This window comes from Homo sapiens, chromosome 9 (assembly GCF_000001405.40).
Source record: "Homo sapiens chromosome 9, GRCh38.p14 Primary Assembly".
In the NCBI taxonomy this organism is placed as follows: domain Eukaryota; kingdom Metazoa; phylum Chordata; class Mammalia; order Primates; family Hominidae; genus Homo; species Homo sapiens.
Genome location: NC_000009.12, coordinates 35392088 through 35413329, shown reverse-complemented (window position 1 = coordinate 35413329; position 21242 = coordinate 35392088). Strand labels below are relative to the sequence as shown.

Here is a 21242-nt window from a genome sequence, read left to right as displayed (position 1 = left end):
TAATTTTTATTGTTGTCTTGTGGTGGTGGTGGTGGTGATGAAGATGGTATTTACAGAAGTGTGTGGAAGGTAAAGGAAAGGGAAAGGAGAAATATAATAATGGGACAGTCTTGCAAACTCTCTAGGACAGAGAGAACTCTGAAGGCACTATGCTAGGCAGACAATCTAATGGAATCACACAACATAGATGTAAAACAGCAAAGCATGTCAAGGCAGGGTGTACATAAGATGTTAAATGAATTGTAGAGACCCAAGATAATTAAAATTGTATGTCCACACAAAAACTTTTACACATGTTTACCGCAACATTACTCATAATACCCAAAAAAATGGAAACAATTCAAATGTCTATCACCTGATGAAGAGATAAGCAAATTGTGGTATATCCAAACACTGGAATAGTATTCCGCCATAAAAAGGATACATACTACAATAAGGATGGGCCTTGAAAACATAAGTGAAGGAAGCTAGTAACAAAAGGCCACATTTTATATGATTCTATTTATATGTCAAGTCCAGAAAAATCCATTAGTGGTTGCCAGGGTATAGGAGAGCAGAGGAAAGAACTGAGAGTGAATGCTAACGGGTATAGGGTTTCTTTCTGGGATGATGACAATGTTCTACAATTAAGTTATGGTCATGGTTTCAAAACTCTGAATATATTAAAAATCACTGAATTACATGCTTTAAAAGGGTGTATTTTGTGACATGTTAATTGTATCTCAATAAGGCTATTATTTTAAAAAACTGGGCCAGGCATGGTGGCTCACACCTGTAATCCCAGCACTTTGGGAGGCCACTTGAGTGGCCTCCCACTCAAGTGGGTGGATCACTTGAGCCCAGAAGTTTGAGACCAGCCTGGGCAACATAGTGAGATCCCATCTCTATAAAAAAGTACAAAAATTAGCTGGGTGTGGTGGCATGTGCCTTTAGCCCCAGCTAGTTGGGAGGCTGAGGTGGGAGGATCACTTGAGCCCAGGAGGCTCAACCAATGAGCCTCAAGTTGCAATGAGCCAAGGTCACACCACTTCACTCCAGCCTGGGCAACAGAGTGAAACTCTGTCTCAAACAAACAAACACTGTAGAACCCAAGCACTACAGGAATTCAAGAAGGAGAGATAAAGGGGGGCAGGGCAGAATTGTTGGAAAGAGCTTCATGGAGAAGGACTTGCACTAAACTCAAGAGACGAACACAGGTTAATTAGGTAGAGATGCAGGGGACAGTTCTGTAGGCAGGAAAAAGGACTTAATGAAAGGGTTGGCATTGAGACTAGACAAGTTGTATGATAGTACAGTAAGTACGAAAATCTGAAGGAGGCAGAAAACAAGAACTTCAAGTCAGGACTTTAATATTAGGATAATGATATTAAACTTTATCTCAGAGAATCCTACAAAGATTTTGAGTAGGGGAAAATGTGATAAACTGGAAGTTCAGAAACATTAATATGATAGATTTACAGGGGAACGGAGTGCAGACAGAAAGACCACTTAAAAGACGGCTATAATAGTCAACACTTAAAATGATGAAAGGCTGAACTAAGAAGTGGTAGAAAATAGAAAGGAGAGGCCCGGCATGGTGGCTCACGCTTGTAATCCCAGAACTTTGGGAGGCCAAGGCGAGTGGACCATTTGAGGTCAGGAGTTCAAGACCGGCCTGGCCAATATGGCGAAACCCCGTCTCTACTAAAAATACGAAAATTAGCTGGGCATGGTGGTGCATGCCTGTAATCCCAGCTTCTTGGGAGGCTGAGGCATGAGAATCACTTGAACCAGGAGGTGGAGGTTGCTGTGAGCTGAGATCGTGCCACTGCACTCCAGCCTGGGCAACAGAGCAAGACTCTGTCAAAAAAAAAAAAAAAAGAAAGAAAGAAAAAGAAAAGAAAATAGAAAGGAGAGGGTAGACAACCAAGATGTTAGAACTGGCCAGTATTTATGTACTGTAGATTTTCCAACCAGAATAGGCCTGAAGATTCTGAATATTCAAAATAGTGTTACCTGCCAAATGATTGGGTTTAGCACTGTCGTTTTGTAAATTCAGTGGAATAGGCCAAAATCTTGGGTAAACCAGTATTAATTGCTTACTGCTCAAAATAGCAGAAGCAGTAAATCTACCTGCAATAGGTAGTCCTAGCCTACCTGTAGGGATTTACCAGGAAAACTGGTTTCAACTCTTTTTCCTTGGTAAAAGGTTTGGCTTTTGAAATAACACACATTTATAGATGAAGTTCTTAATTATCTTTCTGATTGAAAGTGTCAAGCTCTTATAGATTATTTTGATTATTTTTTACACATTTACCAGTGTTTATCATGTGGCAGATACTGTCCTAAATGCTTTATAAATATTACCTAATTTAATCCTTACAGCAACCTTATGTGGCAGCACTTTTATTATTATCCCCATTTTACAGAGGAGGAACTGTAGCAGAGAAATTAAGAGATTTGCCCAAGATAACGTGGTAAGTGGTGGAGCTAGGATTCAAACCTAGACGGTATGACTCCAGAATTCATGCTCTTGACTACTATACTTCCCATATGGTATTTATTTCACTGCATTTATGGCAGATATTTTATATTTATTGGTGCTATTAAATATGCTGTTAATTAATGTTTCCCCTCGCTAAACCATAATCTCGCTAAGAGCAGAAATTCTGTCTAGTTTTGTTGCCATTGTATTGCCATACCTAGCACAGTGGCTCGCACTTATTTAATAATCAATAAATATTTGTCGAATGAATTGATCAGTCTTTATTGATGATTATTACATTTTTCATTTGCCTGGAACTTACCACACCCTAAAGTATTCTGGCTCTCCATATTTTCTGTTCATAAGAATATGCAGAGCAGTTGATTATCTTCTGGGTCCTTTAGCCCTTTAGCTCTCCTGAGGGTAGCAGAGGACTCCCTGGTTTTCCTTTGGATGGAAGTTTCCTGACTTTCTACTTCTGGAACCAGGGCCAGTGTCCTTGACATGGGCTTCCTCCAGGATGAAATCGGACAACTGCCCAATGACAGCAAGTAAAGAAAGTATACTCGCCTATAATCCCAGCACTTTGGGAGGCCAAGGCGGGTGGATCACGAGGTCAGCTGGAGAACATACTGGCTAACGCAGTGGAACCCCGTCTCTACTAAAAAAAAATACAAAAAATTAGCCAGGTGTGGTGGCGGGCACCTGTAGTCCCAGCTACTTGGGAGGCTGAGGCAGGAGAATGGCGTGAACCTGCGAAGCGGAGCTTGCAGTGAGCCCAGATCGCGCCACTGCACTCCAGCCTGGGCAACGGAGCGAGACTCCGTGTTACTAAAAAAAAAAAAAAAGAAAGAAAGTACACTGTGACCTTCAATCAGTGAACTGATTTCATTCTGCACTTTCTCCATTCCTCAAAAGGAAGCCTAAATCTAAATCTTCCTTTTTCAAAATTTCACATTAGAAATAATTTGTTGTTGTTGTTCTTACATAACAGGCAGTTCCATTCTGAAAGATGGCTGGAGTGTGATTATTCCTGCTCCCTTTAGGATTTTTTTTTTTTTTAAGATAGAGTTTCCCTCTGTCACCCAGGTTGGACTGCAATAGCACAATCTTGGCTCACTGCAACCACCACCTCCCAGGCTCACGCGATTCTTGTCCCTCAACCTCCCAAGTAGCTGGGACTATAGGCATGTGTCACCATGCCTGGCTAATTTATTTATTTATTTATTTATTTATTTATTTATTTATTTATTTTATTTTTAGTAGAGACAGGTTTTGCCATGTTGGCCAAGCTAGTCTTGAACTCCTGGCCTCAAGTGATCTGCCGGCCTTGGACTCTCACAGTGCTGGGATTACAGGTGTGAGCCACCACGCCCGGCCTCCCTTTAGAATCTTGATTCACCAAAGGAAAGCACAGAAATGGTATGGAAATCCTCCCTTACTACAGAGACAGATCCATTTGTTCTGTCCACAAAAAGGCTGCAAAGGAGGACCTTATCTGCCTCAGCAGCCTTTTTTCACACTGATCACCTCTTTTTAGCAGGAGGCAGTTATGAAGAATGGGGAGAGAAGGAAAGGTACACAAGCTTTACTGGTGAATTTCCAAATATAAAAGTTAAGAGAGTACTCAAATTAGGATTTTCAGATGATAAAACAGTGGAGCTTGTACTTCTAAGTACAAAGTATTTACTTTTGAAAAATATATTTCCTTTCCTGATCAGTTGTTTGGTAGGTTAACAATCTGATTGCCAGGTTGATCTGCCATATGTGCATGTATACACACACACACACACACACACACACACACACTTCAGAGGTAATAATAATGACATACTCAGATACATTTTCCTGAGTTTACCTACGTTCATCTTGTCTGTCCTCACTTGGGCTTTTAAATAGAGACATTGCAGAGTAGACCAACTATAATTCCATGGAATTTCTATAAAGGAAATAAAGATTCAGAATATGAGAATTTCTCATGCTGATACTGTGTCATTCAAACACATTCTTAAGAAACTTGGAACTTGATCCCTGAAGTCCAAAATGATCTATCTCTAAGACACATATGGTAGTTTGGAATTCACTTTATTTATCTTCATCATAAAGTTATAGTTTCAAAGCTTGGGAAACAGATTTCATTTCCTGACAACTAAGTTGAAGTTGATGACTACAATTGTCAGAAAAGTCATCTGAAACCTAGAAACAGGTGAAATAAATTATTGGATGATCTTTTAGTACAGTTTTGTGTTTATATCTTTGATTAGTTTTCTATTGACTGGACTATTTTATAACTCGTTAGGGCAGAGGTTAACTTATAGATTTTCATCTAGTAGTGATAAAAATGTTTTATGTCTGGTGGAAAAGATGACTCCAAAATTTATGACTTATTGCACTTTAGGACCTTAATTAGTTTTGTATATCATTCAGAAATCGTATTTTAACATTCCTTTATTAAATTGCCTATAAATATTTAGCTCTTAATTTTTCATTTGAACTGATCTTAATATCTTACTGGTTCCCTCATTAATTAATAAATAAAATATTGGAGACCTATTAATTTCGTATTTATATAAAAGTCAAATTTTTTAATACTTGGAAAAATTATACTTTATCAAACCCCACGATTTGCTATACAGACATATCCTTCTTTGCTTCCTATTTTTCTCTCCATTCTTAACCCAACTCAGAAAAGGCCAATAAAGTATATGTATTTTAATCAATTTCTTTCAGGTCCCCTAAAGTACAGATGAGTCAAGACTAGAAAACTAGAGGTTACCTTGCTTAACTTCCTTATTTTACAGATGAGGAAGTTCAGGCTCACACAGGGAAAAAATCTTTCTCACACAGCTATATAGTGGCAGAGTTAAATCTAGAATACAGATTCTTCCTACTACTTCACCATGCTTTGACGCTGCACTGGGTAATGAGTAGGCACTTAATATGCTGACGACTCATTCTTAAATTTATAAGGGGTTTTTGTCTCTTTTGGTTCAATGCTAGGCCTCATGTCTAGATGAATACCTGGCACATAGTAAGCGCTCAAAAAATATCTGTTGCATTTGAACCTAGTACCAAGCAAGACAAATTCCTTGGAAGTTAATTAGAACTCAGAGGATCATTTATAATAATCCCCTATACACTTAGAGAAAATGTATAGTTTTCAAAGTGCTTTCATATATATGAGCCCATTTGATCCCTCTGAGGTAGACATGGCAGGAGTTATTAGTCCTAGATAACAGATTCAAGTTATTGAGGCTCTGAGAAGTTAAAGGTCATCTCCTGACTAGAATGTAGCAGAACTGGGCCCAATCTTCTGACTCCTACTTCAATACCATCTCCACTATTTGTTGCTTCTTCAACTTTGCCTGTCTGCTTCTGGGCTTGGGAGGATCATTCAGGGAGTTAGTCCGAATATTCACAATGAATACGACAGCGACAACTTACGCTGAAAGATGTGATTTTTCTTTCTTAAAAGTCCATTGTTAAAGGTACTTCTGTTCTAATTCTGATTAGATATAGCCTACAGAAATTAGCGGCTAATTCAAATCTGAAAGCTTGCTGAAGCCATGGGTAGCCAGCCAGAGTTTGATTCTTCCCTCTAGAGTAGGTATCCTATGCCAAAGAGTGGGAGGGAATGATAGCAAACGTGCCACTTCAGATCAAGTATGGGACAAGGATTATGACTTCTTCGAGAATCTGCACAGTGCTGGAAAAGTGGAAAACTCCCTGAGTTAACAAGAATGTGCAATTGCTGGAGCTTTGGGGGTATCTCTTCATGAAATAACTGGAAAAATGTGTGCCCTTTAGGAGTTACATGGGGGATAAAGCTCCCCTTCCTTAGATAATCTCGACAAATATGTCCTCTGTGGGAGTGTCTGGAAAACCAGTATACTCGAATATGGGGAGTTGTCTCAAGAAAGTATAAGGATAGACAGCTACTGGAAATACTGAGAGGGGACAGTCTCTCTTCAAGGAATATTGGGAGGGAGAAGGCGATAACTTCTACTCGGGCACCCACTTTGGGAGCCTCTTGCTCACCGTCGCCGCCCGGCCTCCAACTCCGGCAACTGCCATCTCAACGCACCTTCCTGCGCAGACGCCCTAGAGACCCAGGTTCCGGCGTAGAGCAGAGCCCCGCCCACAAACCACGCCCATCTCCCATGAGCCCGCCTCTGGCCACACCCCTACCCTCAGGTGCCAGACCCACCGTTTCTCCATGGAGAGGGCCCCTAGGGGCCGATCTGGCTTTGAAGTACCCGAACTATGCTGGCCGCTGGGGAAATGGAGATACAACACTCAGATCCTGCCTTTGGGTAGATCACAGGCTGATGAGGGGAAAGAGACAAGTAAATTATAACAATGTAGAGTGCTGTGGGGAGGCGTCCAGATAGCAGAGCCTAGAAAGCAGTGGAAAAGGCTGGCAGATTTTCCAGCAAGGGGAGCAGCATGTGCAGGCACGGAGGGGTAGGAGCACACAGTGCTTGTCGGGGACCTGCCGGGGCAGTACTTTAGAACAGCTGCAGGATAGGGGCAAGGGGGGCGGTGCCGGCTGCGCTATCTTGGAGGGTCTTGGAGTTTCAGCCTGGAGGCTATGGGTGACCACTGAATAGTTTAATAGGAGAAGGACTTTATATTGGAGTGCGTGAAGAGAGCAGGGTAAGAACGGAAGCAGGGGATTATCACAGTAACTCAGGCATGAGGACCTAAAAGCTGCCACGACTCTTGTGGTGGTGGGAACTTGAGGCGACCCAATGGATTCAAGAGGTAATTTTGAGGCAGAAATGTTAAGTGGCTGGCTTGGGAGAGGAGCGGGGAGGAGGAAGTTTTTAAATGAGCAACTGAACTCTAAGGATTTATTTAGCAAGCAGTGGAAACGGAGCTAGTTCCCTGTCTGGTGCCCCATTAGTCCCTGCCCCACAAGTAGTGTTAGTGCAGGTTGAGAGTAGGTGAGCACTCTCTTTCTTGTTTCAGCTTTTCCCATTTCCACGCCATGAGGCCTTTTACCTTATTTCTTCCCCTTTGGGAGTGGGCTTTCTACTGCAGCTCTTCTTCCTCGAATAGAGCCTGAATGAAAGTCCAAGGTACAGTCCTAAGCCTAATCTTCTGTCCTGTCTGTGGCAGCCTCAGTCCTCTGCCAAGACGGGCAGGCACACCTCTCCCCAGTGGGCCCCTGCCTTGTCCTCACAACCCAGGCTGTGATCTGTCCTAGTGATTCTAGACAAAGGGAAGAGAAGCATGGACTAGTTTTCACCAGAATACCTCTCCTGCTACTCTTTTGGACCTTTTGTAGGAAGCTGGTGCCGTAGGTCCCATGACTCTGTTAATTAGATTGGTGGTCTCAGGTCTAGGACAGGATGTTAGCCCAGTGGTGTTTATCCAGAACCACTTTAGGCTTCACCCACTGGCTGTCAGGTATGGGGGTGGAGGAGTGTGAAGCAGCAAAGGACCATTAGGCCAAAATCTACCATTATAAAGGACAGTCATTTCCATGGCTTTCCACACATTAGCAGAATTACCAAACCCCAAAGGCTGCTATAAGATAATTTATTACAGACTAGCCTATAATCTCCTGTAACAATGGCACATATAATAATTAACAACAGCAAAGATGCTTGGTTTCTTGTTTCATGTAATGGCCAGTACATCTGTGGACAATGTCGAGTCCTCAGGAAGTCCAGGAGGCTGCTACAGAGGAAATCCAAGAACCATGTCACATCTCTCAACAAGTCTTGGGAAGTCCATCTGACTCTCTGAAACAGTTTGTCTCTGACCTCCCAGGAAGTGTGGAGGGCCCCTTCCATCCAGCCTGTACAGAGGGATCAGAGTCCAGGCTCCTTCTATAGGGTTGAATATCAGAGGGGAATAGCAAATGACCCCGATGAGAGAGAGAGAGACCAAAGGCTAGATTCTTTCTGCAAGGTGGAGGACGGCTAGAAGGCAGTGGCCACAGATGAGCAGGACTTTTTCTAGACTGGTTTCTACAATTTTTGGCTTTGTTCAGGGCCCACCCAAGAAGAAAATACTCCTGGATCCTTCAACTAGCCCTCAGGTAGACACATGTTAGAACAGCCTGTCACGTCCTGAAGCATCACTCCCCTGCCTAGAGGAGTGAGGCAGGGAGACTCCCAGGCAGGTGGCCCCTAGTGCCTGGGGTCCAAAGAAATATTCTTCTCAGGGCTTTGAAGCACCACGTGAACCTGATTCTACTCATGATACAATCTGGGGAAAGGGATTAGTACAGTTCATTTCTAGAAGTTATCTTGTTCAGTTTCAAAGCCTTGTTCTCACTGGAGCCACAGAAAATCAGTGGATTCTACTCAAGGGACAGTCTAAATTCTATTCTGTGTACTCCTGCCCTGGCCATACTCCAATCCAGACCACCGGGCTCAGCAACAGGCTCAGCTGACTACCCAGCCAGCCAGGCACAAGTTCCACACCTTCTAAACTTGTTCTTCTAATGATTGGTATGTATGTGTCTAACTGGATAAGGTGTGGCATGGAGATGGGTAGAGGTGGGATGAGGAGTGGAGAGGTGTCTACCAAGAATGGCTGACACTCTCAGAAATGTTTGTCCTTCTCTCTTAATGGAAAATCTCTCCATGTGGTAACCCCACATCCCAGCCCCTAGTACCACAGTCCTGTTGGGCCAGGGCTTCATGACCCTTTCTGTGAAAAGCCATATTATCACCACCCCAAATTTTTCCTTAAATATCTTTAACTGAAGGGGTCAGCCTCTTGACTGCAAAGACCCTAAGCCGGTTACACAGCTAACTCCCACTGGCCCTGATTTGTGAAATTGCTGCTGCCTGATTGGCACAGGAGTCGAAGGTGTTCAGCTCCCCTCCTCCGTGGAACGAGACTCTGATTTGAGTTTCACAAATTCTCGGGCCACCTCGTCATTGCTCCTCTGAGATAAAATCCGGAGAATGGTCAGGCCTGTCTCATCCATATGGATCTTCCGGCCCAAGGGGCACCAGCAGGCACAGCTGCCCTTGGCTGTGACATCCCTCAGAGGCATCACAGCCAGCCCTAGCACGCGATCTTCCCGGGCAAAGCAGTAATCCTTCACGCATATCTGCAACTCATAGGACTCGGGCCCCTCCTCATTTCCCAGGAGGCTGTGAGCACAAGATAGAAGTTATGAGGCCAGAGTTGAGTCTTCAGCTGATTTCACCCCAGTCTGCCATCCCCCCGGGCCCTCCTCTCCCCCCACCCCTCAAGTCTTACCCCCATCCCAGAGTCCTGTATGTCCCCCCCGTAACTTACAAGTGGAATGTCTCATTGTACTTGGGGGCCCAGTTGTTGCTTTTGGATTTGGTTGTGAACTTCCTCTTCTTATCACTTTGGTGTGGGCCAACCATAGTCACCTCCACGAAAGGCCGGAACATACCCGCTGTCTGCCACTTGAGGTCATTGGCAGCCACCACTGCCCAAACAAGGGAAACCTGTGAGGGATCCCACCAGGATTTCCCAGTTCTTGAACCCCAGGTGACCTTCCCCTTGGAGGAGGGCTGAGCTGGAGGGCTGGGATGAGCAGCCCCTGCTTTTGAGTGATGAGTGAGGCCACTGGGCAAGGAAAGGGCAGACCTGTAAGTCCATCACTCACCTTTCACTGTGACCTTGTGCTCCCCAGTACCAGGGTGTGTAAACAAGTCCACCTGAATAGAGACTTCTCCCACAGGATCGTCCACACCAGACCCTGAGGGACAAATGGAGAGATGATTCCCCATTGGAGAACTGTAGGAGGTAAACCTGAGGGGTGAGGAGGTCACCACCCTATACCCAAAAGCAAGAAGCAATCACCACAGTAACCATGGGAAGTAAGCAATAGGAGAAGGGAAAGAAATGGGATAAAGAACAAGGCTGTGTCTTGTAACACAAGTTAAGCTGACAGCATCTTAGGCGCAACATTTTCCAAAAGTGCACTAAGACTCTCTCTCAAGGATCCCCAAAACTCTTATCTCCTAGGCTGAAGGACTTTTAACTGAAAGACGTTGGGGTAGGGCAGTGCCATCACCTTGTATCTGTGTCTGGGAATTATGTTGACCTGGTAGTGTCTCTTAATGGAAAAATGTGGGTCCTCTCTAGCCAAAAGCAGCAACCTCCCACCTATGCCCAGGATTCCTAGAGGTCCCTGCTTGGGAGGCTGCTGTGCTCTGAAATACTTCATCCCCCTCAAACCTGGGCCCCTCTATAGAATGAACTCCCCAGTTCCAATCTCTGAAAAGAGCCAATCTACAGGCTCCCCTTAGCAGAGACCCCACCCTATTTTAAGAAAACACCTGGCCAGGTGCAGTGGCTCACACCTGTAATCCCAGGACTTTGGGAGGCTGAGGTGGGGGGATCACGAGGTCAGGAGATTGAGACCATCCTGGCTAACATGGTGAAACCCCGTCTCTACTAAAAATACAAAAAAATTAGCTGGCAGTGGTGGCAGGCGCCTGTAGTCCCAGCTACTAGGGAGGCTGAGGCAGAACAATGGTGTGAACCTGGGAGGCGGAGCTTGCAGTGGGCAGAGATCGCTCCACTGGACTCCAGCCTGGGCGACAGAGCGAGACTCCGTCTCAAAAAAAAAAAAAAAAAGAAAAAAAGAAAACACCACCACAATCTTACACCCCAGAGAAAATCCTTCTTTGTCCTGAGGTGGAGGGGTGGGAGAATGCTGAGAATACGACAGAGATCAACAACAGAACCCCTTCCTGGGCTATATGAAGGCATTACCCATCTCTAAGACTTGAGATAGAGCTCCTAAACCTTGACAGCTTGTTCCCCCACCCCCAGCACGAGTTGCTCATTCTAGCTCCCAGGGGTCAGTGTTAGCCCATGTTAGATCCATATCTGCACGGTGTACAACATACCCTTTTCCGGACGAATGTCCTCATTAGCAGTAAATCTAATACCTTTCCCATCATGCACTGAATGAGGACAGGCAAGTCAGAGGTAGTAGCAGCAGCAGAACAGAGAAAGAAGAATCCGTTAGCAGTCTAAGGAGTTAACAGCCATTCAAAGCAGCTCTACACATATTCTGAGGGAGCACAGAGGTGGGGCAGAGTGGAGAAAGAAGTGAAAGAGCTGCAGTCAGTGTGTGAATGCTCCAAATTAGACTTCATGGGTCAGAGACCAACCAAATCATGGGCAGAAACAGTAGAAAAATACAGAGAGGAGGTATCTGAGACAAGCAGGACAAGAGACAGGCTGTAGGCTTTAATTTCCTAGACCCTTAAATGATAAAGCAACGGGTAGAAAATGCACACGCATACACATGGATTCTTCCCGCAGTTGCCAACCCTGCTCTCATCATATGTGTGCTCATTCCAGGCTCTCCTCATCTTTTATCAAGCTTAAAGCTCAATGCTTCTAAAAAGCCTTTCTGGATTAACTCAGATCTTCCTTGATGGTGTATGCCTGAACATGTACCCAGCTCTGTAAAAGTTCTACCTGTCCACTTAAGTGAGACTCACAGCTCTTCTTTTGCTCTCTATTCTTCCCTCCCTGGATTGGAAATGAGAACAGATGGGGAATAGAGCAGTACTTTCGGTCCCTTCCATTTTCTTACTTTCCATCACCAGTCTACCTGCTTAGAGCCCTCTCCCCTCTAGGTCAGCCCTGTGCCCCAGATTCACACACAGCTCAGTAATGCCTAAGCGCCAACTTCCCCCACCAGGTTCACTCCCCCAGGCAGCCTGCTCAGGTTTCCTTGGAACAAGCAGTAACAAATGTGCCTGAGGTGCCTCCTGGGAGGGCTCTGCTCCAGCGTCAGAATTTCAACCTGAGCTACATCTATGCAGATGTGTTTTGTTTTGGACAGGCCATGCTGGAGGTAGGGAGGGGTTCTGAGGACTGAAAGTCACTGGGAGAAAACCGGCTTCCTGGGTCCCCTGTGCATAAACAGCACCCCTGAGACTGGAGCCTCAGCTGTGCACAGGGCCCCAGGATCCACACCCTCCCTTCAGCAGCTGCCATGGTTTGCCTCTCTTCCTTGTCTCCCTATCCATGCTGCAGAGTCTGGAAAGTCTTTTGCCTTCTCTCCCCAGAACAACTCCCAGCAAAGCTCCACACACTATGAGCCTTCACATTTCTCATGGCTTCCATTCATTCTCAAGGCTTCCTCACAGATTTTTCATTCTTGCCGCTTACCAGTCAGGGTATATTCCTTGAGTTTAATAAACATGCATGGGCCAGGCAATGTCTGGGAAAAGAAATCTTAGACATATTTCCCAGGCCTCTGTGATTCTCCTGCCTGGTAATGGGTATGGGGTGGAGGTAAGTACTGAGGTCCCATCAAGCAATAGAGATCTGAATTTGAAGGGCTCTCTGAAGAAGTAACTGGATCTGCTCCCAAGGGCATGAAGATACAGACTCCCTAGGGGAAGATGTGTATCAGAGAGGAGAGGTGGATACCCAAAGCCCTCAGGGCCTTACCTTGGGTGGTCTGCGAGCGCACAAAGGTCTTGATGAGAGTGTCAGTAGTCTGTGTGTACAGAGACAGGGCATAGCGTAGAGACTGCAGATCTGGGCTCTTCTCCAGGAAGGTTTTCTTCAGCCCATTGCCTCCTGCATGGAAGTATTGCTGCAAGATAAAAGAGCACCCGTGACTGCTTCATCCCCTTACAGAAAGCAGCTCCCCAACATTGTCCTCAGAGAAGCAAGAAGAGGACTGTGAGAATAGGCTGTTCAGGAACACCCACAGAACCAGAGCATAGGCTCTTGGATGAGTATTATTTGGGTATTTGGCAGGATTAGTAGGGGATGGCCACATTCCTGGAGGTACGGCAGTGTTTGAAGGATGGGTCTTTCTGGACAGGCACAGAAATGGAATAGAAACACTTCAGGCACGGAGAAGAACCAAAAGTGCTCTTTTACCCATCTGAACCTTAGAGAACTTGAGACCTATGACATACCTCTCCCAGGTGCCTTGAAGCACAGTTCATATGTTCCTGCCTTATATCACCTTACCAATGATAAGCATCTTGAATTTAGGAACCATATCTGATTCTGTATCCTTGGCAGTACATAGTAACTCTCTTCTGGATGTGGAGTGTTAAGAATTGGAGGGACACCTGGTCTGGGAGAGTGGAATGCCAGGGCCAAGTGAGTGTGGTGGTTAAGACTGTCTGAAAAAGGGGGGGCCTCCACCTTGATGGTGTCCAGGGCGAGGTCAAGGACTGCACACTGCTTTGGAGTGAGATTCCGTGTTTCCTCTCGTACCATGTGATCCTGTTCAGAGAAATCAGCAGCATCAGGACAGCTCACAGCAGTCATGAAAGTCTTGCACCCACCTGCCAGCCCCCAGTGCATATTCATCTCCTCCTTTTCCTCTTCAGTCTCCAAAGCTCCAATTTCCTTCCCCGCAGCCACCCTCTCTCCATGACTTCAGAAGGACCACACCTGCCAGGAGGACCCCACACCCAGAGTACCTTGAGTTTGGAAAGATGGCTCAGCTCCTTGGCAGCAGTGAAGATCAGCTGGGTGCCCTGGGCAGAGAGGGAATCAGTCAAAAGCAGAGGACCCCAACTCCATCAGGAAGCAGGGAGTGAGGGGAAGGGAGACAGCAGGAGGAAGTGGAAGGAGGTGTCCTTACCGTCTGGTCAGTGAGTGGGGGCAGAACAATCATCCTCTCCATTGTGTTCATCACCACGCGCCAGAGCTCCTTCAGTACACGCTTCAGAACCGTCTTCTCACACACAGTGGCAAAGAGGGTGAGGCTGCAAGTCCAGGCAACAGGTGAGACCAGGGTGAGAGTTTGAGAACCCCTCTCCCCAAGGGGCTCCCTTGCCCGATAGCATCTGCTTTGCTCATCCCCACAGGATAGTCCTGAATGCTGTACTCACTTGCCATCCAGGAAGTCCATGAGAGGCCGGAGTACGCTATCTGCATCCTGAGCCGCTGAGGCCCTGGCGTCTGGAGATGCATTCCCTGTGCCCCGAACCTGGCCCAGGATGTCGGCCATTTGTCGAACACACTCATCAATCCGTACCTGGAAACTACACATGTGCCCGCAGTGTAGCCTTTCCCTCCCCAAACACACACTGTCCCTGGAGCGGCACCAGCTATTTGGTCCCATTCCCATATGCTCATGGTGCATTTCCAGCAGGGACAGTCAGCAGGAGTACAGGGAAGATCCACACACCTGCAGCTATATGGAGAGGTGTGGGGCAAGGGCTCTGGGATTGGCTAGGGACCACATCTGGCTCTGAGGGCCTTGTATTGTGGGGTCACTGACCTGTTTCCAAACACCATGCTGAGCTCATCCAGAACCGTATTCAGTTTCACCTGCAGCTCCTTCAGACTGTCTGCAGCTTCAAGGTCCAGCTGTATTCACAGGAGGTAAGCCTGGCTAGGCTGCTTTTCTTACCCTCTTCTACCCTGCCACACCCCTACTACTTCCTTGCAGGGCTTACCCCAGTGCCTATTCCTCCCTCGCAGGGCCTTACCCGAATGCCTACCTCAGATTAAGCCAGCCCAGACCCCAAGCTAAATTCCTGGCCTACACCTAGTTAAGAGAGGGTGGAGTTCTATGGCCAAGGAGCTCAGGAATAAAGGGAAAATACAGTGACTCCCAAACCCTAAGACCTACCTCCTTGCCTCCCATGGCCTCAAACATTTTCTCCAGCTGGACCCTCAGTTGCTGCACGTTGTTCATCAGGATGCAGGGCTTTGGGGACAGATGTAGCTGTTGAGTCTTGGCTCCTTTCAGCATAGGACCCATTAGCCTAGGTTCCCTCCCTCTCTCACAAAAGCCACAGGGACTTCACATATGACATAGGTTTCTCCCTCAGCACTAAGAGCTGGGGCCAGTTCAGATAATTCTCCTTGACTAAAAGCAAATGTTTTCATTTTTAAGCTGGGTGGTAGGTACTCAAGTATTAATGTATTATCCTTTATAACTTTCTGAATATCTAAAGTTTTTATATATATATTAAAAAAAAGACTAAGCAAAGGTCTAGCTTAGCAGAGGATAATGTACCAAATGAGACTCACAGGAACTCTGTCAAGTTCTCGTAATTTTGTGGCATGGATCTGAAGCAAAGCCATGGTGGGAATCAGGCATCAGGAGTGTCACCCCAACCCTCAATTCTGAGGACAGCTTCAAAAGCAAGGATTCAAATGTCTTCCACTCTCTTTCTGTAAGAGTCCCAGGGCCTGAACCTACCAGTTTCTCCTTTGTGCAATAGGCTGGGAAGTCCTTTGACAAGATGTCTGCATACTGCATCAGCACCTTCCCGATGGTCTGAGAAGAGGAGAAAGGAAAGAAAAGGAAAGGGAACTCTTAGCTCTTCTATGGGGATCTTGCCTGAGGTGGCACTTCTCATCACAGAACAATAACAACAGGGAGGTAAAGGGGGAATCCCACAGTACAGGAGAAAGCTCTCTCTCAACCACAGAACAGCACTAAGACAGAACCATCTGTCTGCCCCAGAAACCAGCAAAGGAGAATGGGGGTCACACGAGCTTTACCAGGAGGCCACAGTGGAGAGGTGCTGAGCTCAGGCCTGTGATGAGACTGTGAGTGTGGTGGTGGTAAGGGGGAGGGAGTAGGAAGAGTTATGGTCACCTTAGCAAACCTCCTCATGTAGTGGGCAAGGATGCTGGGGTCTGGGCATTCCAGCTTCCGGATGATCTCAAAGCTCTGATTGAGTTGTGTGAAGACATCCACCACAGAGCAGGAAAAGAGTGCATGCTCTGATGTCTGCTGGAACTAAGGAAGACCACACACAGGGTCACCATCCACAGCTGCTATCTTTTCCCAAGCTTGTAGAGTTTGAAAAGGCTCTGACCAGCAAGAGTGGCTAATGGCCCTCAACAGCCCTCCTGTGAACTCCACAGGGCAGGCATAGCCATCCTGGCCAAAGCCCAGGAACTTCTGCCAATAGCTAATTGCTGGGAGACCTGGCCTGAACCCGGTGCAGCCAAAGCCCCTGACTTACTCCATCCTTCTTATCTCGTTCCAGGGCCCCACGCAGGAATTCCAGGGATACATCCTCATTCTCATCCAGCCATTGTAGCACGAACTGCTCAAACCACCTGCAGCCACAGCAGGAGAACAGGGGCTTAGAACTAGCGGTGGGAATACGCCACTTCCTGACAGCTCCACCAGACTGGGGTCCTCGGGATGGCAGGGCACAGTTTAACACTTTTCTTTGTCTACGGTGGTACCTGAACAGGCAGTCCCCGAGACTGGCTTGCTGAAATGAATTGGGGATACTAGCCCTGCCCACCCAGAGGGCTCCCTTCCCTCTGTAGTGCCCACATGATGACTCACGCTGGGTACTCAGGCACCTGCCCCTGGAGGACAGGCAGATCCCGCACGTATTCATTGTGGAGCCACTTCACCTTGAAGTGCAGGTTCATGTAGTCAGCACTTTTACACAGGTGGTCTTTCTCATGCTCTAGTGGTAGGGAGAAAGGTTGGGTCAGGTCCCAGCAGTAGAGGCCATGGTTCCTGAGCCTTCCCAAGGCAGCAGATCTGGTCAGGCAGCTCCATCAGATGTCTTAGGACAAGGGTGACTCCCAACCTCCTTCTCACAGCCATCTCTCCCCAACAGTGTTCTGCTCAGCAACTCTCCACAAGCTTGGCCCAAATCTTCCTCTAGAAAGACTAAGCCAGACTCCCAGATAAAGCCTGCAGTCTTTTTGCTCTAGCGTTTGGAAGTGGTCTTTTTGTTCTAGCATCTGGCCTCTGGTGTAGAAGAGGAGAAAGGGCCATGGGTGCTGATGCTGATTAGTAGGGAGACTGCCCATGACTGTAGAGGACAATGGTTTTCCAGGGCCTTTCTGATCACAGTAGCTGAGTCATCCTTCAGACAGGCTTAAAGGCAGAGATGAGCAGGTGTACATGGCATGAATGGGTCAGTGACAACTACAGAGACAGGGAAAATCAAACTGGGCCCAAGTTGACAGAGCAGTTGGGCAGCCATGGTGTAATGGAATCTTGAGGCAAACTGAAGGGCTCCAGGGCAGAGCTGAGACATTGAAAAAATGAATTCTCAGGGAAGTATGCAAATATGAATAGTCAGTTTGGAAACTATGGAAACACAGCCAGATGAAAGGACATATCATGCTGCAGAAAATGGGGCACTTACTACGAATTTGAAAAGTCATCTTGCTGAATCTCCAGAGCCTTCTGGAAAATCTAAGACAAAGATAACTCACAATTTGCTCAGAGTCTGGAGCACTGGCCACACCCATAGGTTCTCTTCATCTACCCGCTTCATAGTTGAAGCACTAATTTGAATAATAAAAATCAATTGTATGCTGACACATCAACATAATGGTAAAAGCAAGCAAATGTGGGAGAGGACTAAGCAGCAGAGAAGAGAAGGCCACTGTCCTTGGGGACTTTGTTGCTCAACTTTGAGTTGCCATGGGTGATGCTCCTCCAAGTCAAGGCGGAACATCCAGGCTGGGGCAGCTGGCCCTTGTGAACTAGTGTAGCAGACACTGAAGGAGGAAATGGAAGCCCGGGATTCTGCCTCAAAGGGCTTCAAGTCCCAGGAATTTCATTCCCTGGCACTGCAGGCAGCACTGTCTCAACCTAAAGTTGCATTTGCAGTCTCTTCTATGAAGCAGTGAGCAGGAGAAGAGGGAAAAGGTGTAAGACTAGAGGCAAAAGGACAACTAAATGTTCTTACCACCCAGAAAGAGGACTTTTCGTATATGAATGACAGTGGTTGCTTGTGACAGAGCAGACACCAATGAGCAACAAAGAGAGTGAAAAAATCAGGGACATCAGAGAGACCCTCAGGGACATCAAAAGAGAGCCCCTCTCCTCCACCCCCATCCCCTGCTGTTCTGGAACCAGTCTAAGAACCTAGAAACATCAGGAGGGCCCTCCTCCTTCCTTTTCAAGCAGGACTGCCCATCACTCCATAACTCCCTAACTCTTTCTTTTAGGGACCTTCAAGTTACTGTTTCTACATATAATTTTCACTTTCTCTGTCAATTTATTATCTGCACTCTGGCCCCTATCCCTAATTTCTGTATTAACTTCTCTGGTATAAAAACTAACTGACAAGTTCTGAAACACCGGTCACACTTTAAACTATTCTAACAAGTCCCATGGAGTCATGCTCCAGTAAAGTTGTTTGAGGTGGGGTAATCTGTCAGAAAGGCCAATCCATAACCTCCTGCCCCTGACTTCCACCTAACTCCCTCCTTTCCTCCTGGAGAGCTCTTCCAACCTCATGATTTCAACTACCCAGTTTGCTGGTATCTCCCCCTAATCTCTCTTTGGTTCTGGTAACGTCTATATAAACTTCTTATTTTTTTTGAGATGGAGTCTCGCTCTGTCACCCAGGGTGGAGTGCAGTGGTGCTATCTCTGCTCACTGCAACCTCTGCCTCCTGGGTTCAAGCAATTCTCCTGCCTCAGGCTCCTGAGTAGCTGGGATTACAGACATGTGCCAGCACACCTGGCTAATGTTTGTATTTTTAGTAGAGTTGGGGTTTCACCATGTTGGCCAGGCTGGTCATGAACTCCTGAACTCAGGTGATCCACCCGCCTCAGGCCCATAAAGTGCTGGGATTACAGGCGTGAGCCCCCATGCCTGGCCTATATAAGCTTCGGATGGAACATTTCATCATGCCTAGATTTAACTTGCCCCTGTCTCTCACTATCTTAAAATCTCCAGCTGAAGTGGAACAGAGTACACCAACTAATCTTACCCTCTTGTTCAATGCTGAGCATCATCCTCAAATCTTCTTTCTACCTCTTTATTCATACCCAGTTAAATCGCCAGCCCCTGATTTCACCTCCAAATGTCTCTGGAATCTATCCATTCCTTCTAGCCACGCTATTACCTGCCTAGGTCTCATTACCCCCATCTGTAACCTGGATTACTATAATAGCCTCCAGACTGGTCATTCTGCCTCCCAATCCACTCTCCACACTGTAGACAGAGCGACTGGCCTTTCTACATAATAATCTGATCATGTCAATCCCTTGCTTGACATATGTCAGTGGCTCCCAGCTACCTCAAGATAGAGTCCAAAAGTCAGCTGGATGCATTGGCTCACACCTGTAATCCCAGCACTTTGGGAGGCTGAGGGGGGTGGATCACTTGAGGCTAGGGTTCAAGACCAGACTGGCCAACATGGTGAAACCCCGTCTCTACTAAAAATACAAAAATTAGCTGGGTGTGGTGGCACACGCTTGTAATCCCAGCTACTCGGGTGGCTGAGGCATGAGAATCGCTTGAATCCAGGAGGCGGAGGTTGCAGTGAGCCAAAATCAGCCCACTGCACTCCAGCCTGGGTGACACAGAGAGACTCAAAAAAAAAAAAAAAAAAAAAGAGAGAGAGTCCAAAAGCCTATGCATGGCTTACAACCTCCTTCACGATCTGACTCCGTCACACCTCTCCATCTTCAGGTCTTACTTATCTCTTCCCCTACCCTCTGAAGTGCTAGTCACACTGAACTGCTGCTTCCAGTTCTCCAAGCATGCCAGCTCTCTCTAGACCCCAGGTCTTGGACATGCTGTAGCCTCTGCTTGAAATGTTCTGTGTCTCCCTTTCTTGTCACTACCACCCTCCTGGCTAAATCTTATTACCCTTCAGGTTTCGGCTTGTACATCACCTCCTCCAGGAAGCCTTCCCAGGTCCTCAGAATCTGGGTTACATGGTTCTCCTGTGTGCTCTCAGCACCCTATACTTACTCCTCTTGTGGCATTATAACTTTGTGTTGTAACTACCAATTTATACGACTGTTTTCTAGACTGCTCTGTGAGTTTCTTAAGGGATGGTGCTATGCCTTGTTCATCTCATTGGGTTCCAATAACCAGCACAGAGCCAGGCACAGAGAAAATATTCAATAAACATTTGGTGAATGGAGTGGGGATTTACTGCAAAGTGGCAAGAAGGAACTTTTGTTTCATATTTTAATTGGGAGAGTTGTTACACAGTTGGGCTTATTTGTCAAAACTCATTAAATTGTATTCTTAAAGTGGTCTTATTGTATTGTCTATAAATGATACCTTAATAATGTTGACTTACAAAATATTTGGTGACGGACAGCATTTTCTTTTCTTTTCTTTTTTTTAATGTTTCACCCTTTTCTTTATTTTATTTTATTTTTTATTATACTTTAAGTTTTAGGGTACATGTGCACAATGTGCAGGTTAGTTACATATGTATACATGTGCCATGCTGGTGCACTGCACCCACTAACTTGTCATCTAGCATTAGGTATATCTCCCAATGCTATCCCTCCCCCCTCCCCCTACCCCACCACAGTCCCCAGAGTGTGATGTTCCCCTTCCTGTGTCCATGTGTTCTCATTGCTCAATTCCCACCTATGAGTGAGAATATGCGGTGTTTGGTTTAGTCAGAGTCAATGCCACTCTCCTATCATCCAGGCCCCCAAAACTCCTCCCCTTCTCTTGCCCTCCATATTCTGACAATCACGAAGTCCTGTTCTGGCTTCCTTCCAATGTCTATCAAAGCCCATTCTCCTCTCTCCACTTCCCTTCTCTAATCCCAGCACCCTCTATCCCTAAATTATTACAACAGCTCTTCATTATCTGCGTTCTCTGATTCTAGTCTCTCCCTATTCTAGCTGCCCTCATCTCCCACTGAGGTAGATCTTATTAAAATACTGCTGGCTTCACATTGCATCTCTGCTCAAGAGCCTGCAATGGTTTCTTATTGTTCTTAAGAACTAAGATTTAGTCAGTGCTGAGTAAGTGCCAGGCAGTATGCTAAATACATCTCAGTACTTCATCAGTTCAAAGAAACAGATGCTATCATCACTCCCATTTTACAGATGAGAAAATGGGAGCTCA

The 21242-nt window shown here is 46.3% G+C and overlaps 1 protein-coding gene and 1 pseudogene across 21 annotated transcripts in view, besides 4 other annotated features; both read right to left on the bottom strand.

Annotated features, from left to right (window-relative positions):
- The window catches only part of ATP8B5P (ATPase phospholipid transporting 8B5, pseudogene), a 76275-nt pseudogene extending 69700 nt beyond the window's left edge, over window positions 1–6575 (bottom strand). For 2 of the 3 annotated variants that reach the window (NR_003581.2, NR_110320.1), the window contains exons 1-2: window positions 6503–6575; window positions 4327–4403 (exon numbers count right to left, since the gene is read on the bottom strand). The product of NR_003581.2 is annotated as an ATPase phospholipid transporting 8B5, pseudogene, transcript variant 1 (transcript). Of the gene's footprint in view, window positions 1–4322; window positions 4404–6502 lie in introns of all 3 variants that reach the window. The other variant, NR_003582.1, reaches the window with a different exon arrangement.
- Window positions 6491–7036: an enhancer, noted in NCBI's record as "NANOG-H3K27ac hESC enhancer chr9:35406291-35406836 (GRCh37/hg19 assembly coordinates)". NCBI's record gives its function as "activates a minimal SCP1, AML or CMV promoter by ChIP-STARR-seq in naive H9 embryonic stem cells {active_cell/tissue: H9 hESC(naive)}" and the evidence as "EXISTENCE:reporter gene assay evidence [ECO:0000049][PMID:30033119]".
- Window positions 7037–7582: an enhancer, noted in NCBI's record as "H3K27ac hESC enhancer chr9:35405745-35406290 (GRCh37/hg19 assembly coordinates)". NCBI's record gives its function as "activates a minimal SCP1, AML or CMV promoter by ChIP-STARR-seq in naive H9 embryonic stem cells {active_cell/tissue: H9 hESC(naive)}" and the evidence as "EXISTENCE:reporter gene assay evidence [ECO:0000049][PMID:30033119]".
- The window catches only part of UNC13B (unc-13 homolog B), a 243327-nt gene continuing 230079 nt past the window's right edge, over window positions 7995–21242 (bottom strand). For 12 of the 18 annotated variants that reach the window (NM_001387551.1, NM_001371189.2, NM_006377.6 and 9 more), the window contains 14 exons: window positions 16728–16854; window positions 16393–16489; window positions 16020–16163; window positions 15618–15695; window positions 15042–15119; window positions 14688–14776; window positions 14296–14448; window positions 14046–14169; window positions 13882–13938; window positions 13601–13681; window positions 12887–13034; window positions 10071–10163; window positions 9731–9890; window positions 7995–9582 (listed from right to left, as the gene is read on the bottom strand). In NM_001387551.1, the coding sequence (NP_001374480.1) occupies window positions 9297–9582; window positions 9731–9890; window positions 10071–10163; window positions 12887–13034; window positions 13601–13681; window positions 13882–13938; window positions 14046–14169; window positions 14296–14448; window positions 14688–14776; window positions 15042–15119; window positions 15618–15695; window positions 16020–16163; window positions 16393–16489; window positions 16728–16854 (1715 nt within the window). In that variant the 3' untranslated portion in view covers window positions 7995–9296. Of the gene's footprint in view, window positions 9583–9730; window positions 9891–10070; window positions 10164–11322; window positions 11380–12886; window positions 13035–13600; window positions 13682–13881; window positions 13939–14045; window positions 14170–14295; window positions 14449–14687; window positions 14777–15041; window positions 15120–15617; window positions 15696–16019; window positions 16164–16392; window positions 16490–16727; window positions 16855–21242 lie in introns of all 18 variants that reach the window. The other 6 variants (NR_170667.1, NM_001330653.3, XM_047422602.1 and 3 more) reach the window with 1 other exon arrangement.
- Window positions 8907–10106: an enhancer, noted in NCBI's record as "BRD4-independent group 4 enhancer chr9:35403221-35404420 (GRCh37/hg19 assembly coordinates)". NCBI's record gives its function as "activates an origin of replication core promoter dependent on BRD2, P300/CBP, MED14 and CDK7 cofactors, and independent of BRD4, by STARR-seq in HCT116 cells {active_cell/tissue: HCT116}" and the evidence as "EXISTENCE:reporter gene assay evidence [ECO:0000049][PMID:35650434]".
- Window positions 14749–15948: an enhancer, noted in NCBI's record as "CDK7 strongly-dependent group 2 enhancer chr9:35397379-35398578 (GRCh37/hg19 assembly coordinates)". NCBI's record gives its function as "activates an origin of replication core promoter dependent on BRD2, BRD4, P300/CBP, MED14 and CDK7 cofactors, with strong dependence on CDK7, by STARR-seq in HCT116 cells {active_cell/tissue: HCT116}" and the evidence as "EXISTENCE:reporter gene assay evidence [ECO:0000049][PMID:35650434]".